Genomic DNA, 8,624 nt, shown 5'->3' on the forward strand with positions numbered 1-8,624 from the left:
ACCTCTGCCTCCCAAGTAGCTGGGACCACAGACACGTGTGACCATGCCTGGCTAATTTTTTCATTTTTTTGTAGAAAAGTTTTGATGTGGGGCCCTCACATTCTGTTGCCCAGGCTGGTCCCAAACGCCTGGATTCAAGAGCTTCTGTCCCCTCAGCCTACCAAAGTGCTGGTATTAAAGGTGAGATCCACTATGCCTGGCCACATATATACAACTTATAAATAAAAATAACCTTATATACAAGGTTAAATGCAAATATCCCACAGTGAAGGCCGGGCTTCAGCATAAGGAGGAAGTCCTGCCTGAAAAAGGCTGCGGCTTGGAACATTTTACCCTGTTGTCATCTGGCTACGAGTTGGCTCACATCTTCTCTCATTCAGAACCTGAAGGGGTGGGGCCTGGGGCCGTATTATCCAATCACTAGTGCTGGGGTAAAAACTGTCTTAAAACTATTCTTTTAATGCTTAGCAATACTAATTTTTAGTGAGAAACTTAAGATTACTTAATTTAACATAACCAGACTTTAAGATTTTAAATTACTAAAAAAAAAAAAAAGAAACTTAAAATGATGACAGAGTTACTTCCTCTAATGTTTTTTGGTGAGGGTTTCAAATACCTATGTCATATATTGAAACCTACAGTTCTATAAGCCCTACCCTTAAATCAAAACAACCCTGATGCTATTGTGAACAGGTACTTAGCACAAATCCTACCCTTAGGCAAATTTATATAGTGATTTCAATTGTCCTTCACATTCCCTTTCCTGTGATAAGTGTCTGGGTTTAGGGGGTCACAGTGTGAGGTTCCACCATCTTCAGCTATCTGAGACATAGCTTCTATTAATAAATGTTCCTCTTAAATGTTTCTTTCTGAGAAGCTTGATTTGTCAGCCTCATTCTTCAAACTCTCAGCTCCTTTGGCCTTTAAAGGTAGGTTTATATATATATATATATACTCACAAGAAAACACCCTCATATATATAGTCTGTCAATTTCTCAAACATTGTTATGTGGTTCATGACTGTAATGTGTGCCACATGTAGTTTTGTACATGAATAGTATATTTTTTATAGCTACTTTCTATTACACATCACTAAAATACATGTTCAGTAAGTGCTCACTTAACATCATTGATAGGTCCCTGGAAACTGACTTTAAGTGAAACAAAATACTATATGCCATGGAAAATTAACTCTTGTTTATATCAATTAGCCAATGGTAAAATTGGTTTTATTATATAGTACATTGTTTTACTTAAAGTCACAGTTTCTGAGAATCTATCAAAAAAGGGAGAACATACTGTCATTAGTATTACAGTATATGGTACATTATAGCATTACACTATTATAGTATGTTATTGTAGTCTTAGCAATTGGTAGTATAATGTGTTTCAGTTTCTCCCAAGGTCACAGAATTATCCAGACCAACCAATAACAACTTCCTGTGGGAACCAGGTGCATCTCACCCTCTTGATACTACAAAGCCTTCCCCAACACCCCCTGTTTGTTCTCTCTGCTCCCAAGTGCAATCCCTGTGTGGGTCTGTATACCTTATATAATTTCCTTCTTCCATGATTATATGTAACGAATAACTGCTGTCAATCTCATTTGTCCAATGATTGGTGCCATGGTTTTAACTGTTCCAGTAGTACAAGGGTGGTAATTTATCCCTCACCAATGGGGTAAAGGGGAGGCTAATCAAACAATTCACAATACAAACTGGATTAACCAACTATGACTAAGGACATCGGCTCAACTTTAACTGCTTTTGGCCTACTGATTTCATGATACATTAAAAGTCACCTCAGTCAGAGCCACCAGTTTCTGGTGGGCTTTTGCTTTGGTCTAAATAGCCATTTGTGGCCTTTATCATGAGTTGCCTTCCCTGACCACATTAAAGCACACTCATCACCTAGACATATATGGTCAGTTGACTCTGCTGCAGCCTGATGTGTCATCATATTTAGCCTTTGTTTGGCATGCAGCTTGCAAGACACTTGCCTTTCAAGGCAGTGAAAACACAGAACCTTAATCAGTGAGTACTTCAGTCCTGATTACCAAGAGTCAGGCTATATCCCTGTGGTCACTTCATCTGGTCTGCTTACCATTACTAAATGCCCGGGTAGTCATATGAACATTGCTTATTATTGCACACTCTCAGGAAAGGCCCAGGGACGGTTTTTTGTAAAATTGCAAAAAACAAAAAGGACTTTTACTTTGGAGAGAATTATGCACGTCACTCAGTTGCTCTAACAAGTGCTACCGTCATGGGAGCAAGAACAGTGACCTTGTGTTTCCTGAGCTGCCGCTTCCTTTGCTCCTGTCACATGCACTCTCACGATGAGGGGCTCATTCCTTGTGCCTTATGGTTCAGGCACTGATGAGAAATAAAAAAGAGAAAGATAACTTAATATTAGTCCCTCCCAAAACTTACTGGGTAATTCTCTCATCCTAAATCCCCTACTCATCGTGTAGGCTTTTAGCACTGCTGCTTACCAGTATGCTAAAGGTGCAGACTTAGGATCAGAAGTTTGATGAACTCAAACAAAAAGACCACAATGCATATGGGTGCTAATCCCAGTGAAATGGAGTGGCAGTAAACACCTTCAACCAAAGAGAAAACAGATCACAAATAAACAAATAATGACACAACTCAAGAAACTAGAGGAGGAAGAACTTATCCCAACGTTCCCAGATAATAAAATTAGTAAAAAAAATCGGAGCAGAAATGAATACACTGAAGATTAGAAAAACAATAGAAAATGTAGAAAAATTGTAAGAGCTTGTTTTATGAAAACATGAAGTTGGCATATCTTTAGCTAGACTAAGAAATAAATGCTTAAATAAATAAAATCAGAATTAAAGGGAATACATTACAACTGGTAAAACAGAAATAAAAAAAGGTCATAAGACTGCTATGTACACAGACTCCTATGTACAATGATATCCCACCAAATGGGATAAGGGAGAAGACATGAATACATTTCTAGACAAGTACCACCCACCAAGACTGAAGCATAAAGAAATAGAAAATATGAATAGATCAGTAATGGGTAAGGAGTTTAGATCTGATGACTTTGTTGCTGAATTTTACTAAACATTTAAAAAGAACCAAATCTTTGAAAAAATTGAAGGAGGAGGAATACTTCCAAACTCATTTTATGAAGCCAGCATTACACTGATACAAAAACCAGAGATGGACATTACAAGAAAAACAATTACAGGCCAATATCCCTGATGAACATAGATGAAAAATCATCCGCAACGTAGTTGCAAATGAAATTCAAAAGCACTTTAAAAGGATCATTTATTATGATCAAGTTGGATTTATTCCTGGGATGCAATAATATTTTAATATGTGGAAATCAATAAATGCCATACTCCTTATTTACACAACAAAAAGATTAAAAATCATGACTTTTTTATGCATGCCTAAAATTATTTTGACAAAATTTAAAATCCATTCCAAATAAAATCTATAACAAATTAGGTATAGAAAGAATATACCTCAAAATAAAGAGATATGTTCTTTATAAGCTATAGGACAATCCCATGGTTAACATTATTGTCAATGGTGAAATTTTGGAATTGTTTTTAAGATTTATTATAAGAAAAAGATGCCCACTCTCACTACTTCTTTCAACACCGTATTGGAAATCCTGCTCAGAATCTAAGACAAGAGAAAAAAGAGCATTTAAATAAGAAACAACAAGTTCTTCTATTCATGGAGATTAACGCTCAGGTTTTTGCAGATTAGATTTAACAGCATGAAATCTGTACCATCCAGGAATCAAAGGATATAGGACTTTAGGGCATCAATTATTAAGAGGCTATAGGAAAGCAGAAATGCTCCTGGATGTTTCCATTGTCCACACACAAAATTTCAACAGACCAGCCCCAGGAAGTAAAGGCACATTCCTGACTACTGTTAGTTGATGAGCTTTTCACCAAAAGCAGAGATGTGAGACCTGGCAGGTTTCAAAGACCCCTCAAGTGCTCCATACCTTGAAATTCACTTCCACAAAGCTAGAACACCATCTGTTCCTGAGGGATCAGGTTATCGTCTGTTTCTTTTAGGCACTGGCCAGTCAGGCTTTAGTGGACACGAAGCCACAGATTTTTAGTGTAAAATGCCTAATCTATCATAATCTTTAGGTAGATATTTGGAGGCCTGCACACTTAAATGGGTTGGTGAAATGTCATACCAGACACATGGCTGGGAATTGGGTTTTTCTCCTCCGCTCTTAGCAGCACCTTTGTAACCCAGTGATTACCCCCCTCATGGCTCCACGGCCACATCCGCAAAAAGGGTACTGGTGAACGTGACATTTTCACGAAGCCACAGCCCATGGTCACTCCCTGCAAAGCTCTGAACTTGCGCATTCCCAGGCCAGGCCGTGGTTGTCTTTCCAAGGCGGCTCAGCTTGTGCTTTGCTTGGAGAGAGCGGAGGGCAGCAGCACAGTGACAGCGTCTGGGACCTCAGACCAGTTTCCACAGCCACTTATGAAAGCAGACGGCTCCATGGGCTGGAGGAGGTGGGACGCTCTGGAAAGAACTCGGGTGCGAGTGGGAAAGAAAATCGAGCTGAGCAGCTGGAAGTCGAAGTCGCGTGAGTGAGGACCAGACACTCTCGATTTAGGCAAAGGCGGGGTGCACTTCCCAACAACACATCCTCCTCACTGGCGAGACCAGGCCTGCCCTTCAAGTTCCTCTCCTGATTTAATCCCCTTGGCGAGGGTTTGGCATGAAATCAATGGCCAGCAAGCTTGGTAAACGAAGCCGCCTACACCGCCCTCCCCCTCCCTGCACGGCCGCGCCCCGCCTCCGCTCCTGTCTCAATCTGGGATTGTCCTCCTGTAGCCCCACCATCCACCGTGGGGAACGGTGGAGAGACTACAACTCCCAGTATGCACCGCGATGCGCGCCTCACCCTGCATCTCCCAGCCCGCAGCCAGCTGGCATCCTAGACCCTCTGCCCTGCGACCAACAGCCGGGAGCGGACCAGACACCAGAACTCCCGGAACGGTTGAAGACGGTTCCGCTCCCTGTCCCGCCTTTCGCAGCCCAGCAGTTTCGCCCTGCGGAGAGGAGCCTTGCTGTTTCCAAATCTCTCCTGCTGAAGAGACATTGGAGCTAGGGCGGCTAGTTTCACCTGGTAATTGTGACACCCTGTCTCCTCGAGCTGCAGGCTTTTATGCTTGTCATGTTCGAAGTTTGATACCTTGCAGATCAACAAAGGGCCGGTGGCCTCTCACTGCCTCCGCGGCAGGGTTGTCAAGGTAACGCTCCTCAGACAAGGGTGGGGCGCGACCCGCCCCTTTTCTCACCCCGCCTCCTCCTCAGCCCCACCCTCCTTCGCTCCTCCTCTTGTCACTCCCTTTCAGACATGCGCAGTGCGGCCCGTCCCTAGGGCTGGGTTAAGGGCCGCGGATGTGGCAGTTCTCAGGCCTCTTGGGATCGCCTCAAGAAGCCCCCTCACGAGTGTCTCGATTTCCTGTCAGCCAACAAAGGGCCGTTCGCCTTTCATGGCCTCCACAGCAGCGTTGCCGTGGTAACGATCCTCCGCCGGACGTTGGCCGCACCGCGCCCCTATTCTTGCCCATCTCCCGCTCCGCCCCGTCCCTTCTCGCTCCTCCCTCTTGTCACACCCGTTCAGACATGGGTAGTGTAGCCCGTCCCTAGCGGCGGGATAAAAGTCCTGCCCTTTCACACATGCGCAGTGCACCCATTCCTAGGGGTGGGGCTAAGGGGCCTGCCCTTTCGGAAATGCGCAGTGCAGCCCGTCCCTAGGTGTAGGGTAATGGCGGCCGACCTGGAGGCTCCTTGGGATCCCCTCGAGAAGCCCGTTCATGAGTGTCTGAAACTGTCACTTGACTGCCAGAAGTGAAAACATCGTGTCCCTAGTCACCTGCCATTTGCCTTTTCAAAACCATTTCCTCTGTTCTCTAGGCTGTCACAAATCCTCTGCACCCCAGGAGCGCCGCTTGGACCCCCGGGCTCGCTGCGTGGTCCATATCTAGGTCGGGCCTCTCACGGAGACTTTCCCACCAGTGTAATAAAGAGGAGAAAACGTCACAGCGGAAGGGCCTGACCCTGCTGCATCCACTAAGGAAACAGCTACGGGGATGGGACCCTGGGAGCTGCTGTGGAGCCTCATCCACCGCTTCTCTGACCCCACCCAGGCTGCTTCCCAGGCCTCAGGGTCTTAGTGTGGACCTCCGGGCCGTGATTAATGCAGGTCAGCAGGACCAGAGCGCCCCTTGGTCCCTCCCAACACATGAGGGTAGTTTGTGTGGTGAGGTCAGGGATAGTGTCTGCGCTTCTACCCTGAATAGGGCTCCCTTGGAAAATACTTTAATATCTCTTTTTAAATACCCCCTTGGACCACTTTTAATAGTTTTCTGATAGAACTAAACAGTGATCATTCTCTTAATTCATGTTTCCATTAAGTTTTTCAGGTTAAGTACTGCACGACTACTCGCTTCTGAAACTGATAGACACTGCCTCAGCTCCGTGCAGGGCAGACGCACAAGAGCAGAATCTCCGTGGGACATCTCTCTGGAGCATCAATATTACTGCAGTATTTGGAAGAAACAAATTTAAATAAGTTCTAAGGTGAAGAATGGAACATTTAAGACAAGTCTGGAAAGTCATCTGCCTTTAATAACTGTCGTTTGTCCTTAACGTCAGACTTTCTCCAAGACCAAAACTCTAAGAACTTATTTCCATTCTTACAAATAGTAAAAATGATAAATCATATCAAGTCAATTGAAAGTCCTGCCTGCTGCTTTCCTAAATTGCAATATGGCCTTGGTATGGTTTTATTTGTACTTTTGTGGGGGATTCGTGGATCTTTAGATTAAAAAAAAAAAAATAGGTTTTTGAACAATTTTTGCAAGTTTGCAGCTGTTAGTTATTGATTTATTTTTCCAACCCATCTAATTCTTCTGTCTCTCTCCTCTCCTCAGGCTCAATAATTCCATGGGTCTCTAAGGCTGTGTTTATTTTCTTTAAATTTTGTTGATTTACTTTTATACTCCATTTGATTTTTTCTATCTCTCACCTTTTCTCAGACTCAGTCATCCCACAGGTCTGTAAGGCTCTGTTCATTTTCTTTAAACTTCTTTTTTTTTTCCTCTCCTCAGATTGGATAAATTATATTGCTATGTCTCTGTTTCTGAACTATAGAAAAGCTCAAAATTATTATTTTTATTTCTCATTTTTTATATGGCTATTTTTTCTCTGCTGATGTTTCACATCTATTCATTTATGAGAATATTTTCCTTTGCCCTCATGAGCGTGTTTATAATAGCTGCCTTCAAATTCTTGTCTGCCGTTTACATCTTGGACATCTTGGAGATGGCTACTGCCTGCTTTTTATCTTGTGTATTTATTACATTTTCACGTGTCTTCACGCATCCCTTGAATTGGAAATTGTGCCCTGGAGACTGTATACAAGACTGGATTAAAAAGACTGGATTCTGTTTTGTCCCTGTGAAGAGTGTTGTTTTTAAAAGATGGTGTTAAATGGGCTGGATTCTATCTTCAATACTTATCTCTCCTATGGAAGTCATAGCCAAAATATGCATTCAGTTTTTATATACACATATTTCATGTATGTATTGTATATAGAAATGTTTCTATAATGATATATAATAATTTACCCAGGATTCATCATTTTTCTGTGTGAGAGTGTTAGTTCAGTTAGCTACTTCATCATTAGTGGAAGCCAGAACCTCAGTTTTGATTTTTGAGTGTAATATAAAAAATTACACAGTATGGATACTTTTACATCAATTTTTTAATGCAATATTATATTTGTGATATTTATGCTGTTACAGATATCTACAGTTTGTTCATTTAAAAAAGTCCTTTTTTACATTGTGGTAAAATATACATAAAATTAACCATTTTAACAATTTTTAAAAGTGCAGGACAGAGGAATTAATCATACTCACATTGTTCTACAACCATCATCCACATTCATAGGGAAATTTGTTCATTTTGCAAAACTCAAACTCTGTTCCCGTTACCTTCCTTTTGGCCTCTAGGAACTACTCTTCTACTTTGAGTTTCTATGAATGGAACTACTGTAAGTACCTCATATGAGTGGAATCATACAATGTAGTAAAGAAGTCACGAGGAAGAATAATACACACTGTATAACATGCTTATTAATTTAAATAAACAGAGATCAGTAGTACATGGTGATTATAGAGAAAGACAGATAAAAAAGAAAAAGCAGTTAGAAGGGTGTGTAAAATTTATCACTATGGTGTCTCAAGTTTTAGAGCAGTGAGGCCCCGGCCCCAGACACATTACTGGTCATGGTGAAGCTGGGAGCCCAGTGCAGCTGTCTGACTCCCAAAGCCAACACTCAGGCCAAATGTCACTGAGCCCTGAGGCACTCTGCCCCTGCCAGCCCAGGCACTCAATGGCCCTGAGATTCACCATGGCCTGTTCTTGGTCTTGAGGGTGTTGCTGGCCTGCTGGAATAGGGGCCCGTCTGACAAAACAAGTAGGAGGAGCTTCAGAAAATAGTGGCAGCTGTGAGGCTACCAGGAGCCACACCTCAGGCTTCCCACTGCCTGCCCAGGGTCCCCATGCAGCAGGCCTAATGTTGAC

At 42.6% G+C, this 8,624-nt stretch overlaps 1 protein-coding gene across 5 annotated transcripts; it reads left to right on the forward strand.

Moving 5' to 3' along the window:
* Window positions 1–4,848: 4,848 nt before the first annotated feature.
* TP53TG3B (TP53 target 3B) lies at window positions 4,849–7,486 on the forward strand. Of its 5 annotated transcripts, NR_110897.2 has the most exons (4): window positions 4,849–5,278; window positions 5,384–5,550; window positions 5,949–6,237; window positions 6,450–7,486. NR_110897.2 is itself a non-coding variant. In XM_011545933.2 (3 exons), exons 1-2 carry the CDS (start codon window positions 4,917–4,919, stop codon window positions 5,418–5,420), a joined length of 399 nt encoding a protein of 132 aa, XP_011544235.1. In that variant the 5' UTR covers window positions 4,849–4,916; the 3' UTR covers window positions 5,421–5,550; window positions 6,458–7,486. The 5 variants fall into 5 exon arrangements, 2 of the variants coding, with proteins under 2 accessions (XP_011544235.1, NP_001093157.1); NR_110911.2 differs by lacking the exon at window positions 5,384–5,550; NR_158181.2 differs by lacking the exon at window positions 5,384–5,550 and having other exon boundaries at window positions 6,458–7,486.
* Window positions 7,487–8,624: the final 1,138 nt, after the last annotated feature.

The sequence above is a fragment of the Homo sapiens genome, chromosome 16 (assembly GCF_000001405.40).
Source record: "Homo sapiens chromosome 16, GRCh38.p14 Primary Assembly".
NCBI classification, from domain to species: domain Eukaryota; kingdom Metazoa; phylum Chordata; class Mammalia; order Primates; family Hominidae; genus Homo; species Homo sapiens.

Bases quoted from the DNA above. Each gene is read 5' to 3' on its own strand.
- TP53TG3B (XM_011545933.2), top strand. From the start codon at position 4,917: ATGCGCGCCTCACCCTGCATCTCCCAGCCCGCAGCCAGCTGGCATCCT. The intron at 5,279-5,383 runs GTAACGCTCCTC...ACTCCCTTTCAG, and splicing joins TCCGCGGCAGGGTTGTCAAG to ACATGCGCAGTGCGGCCCGT.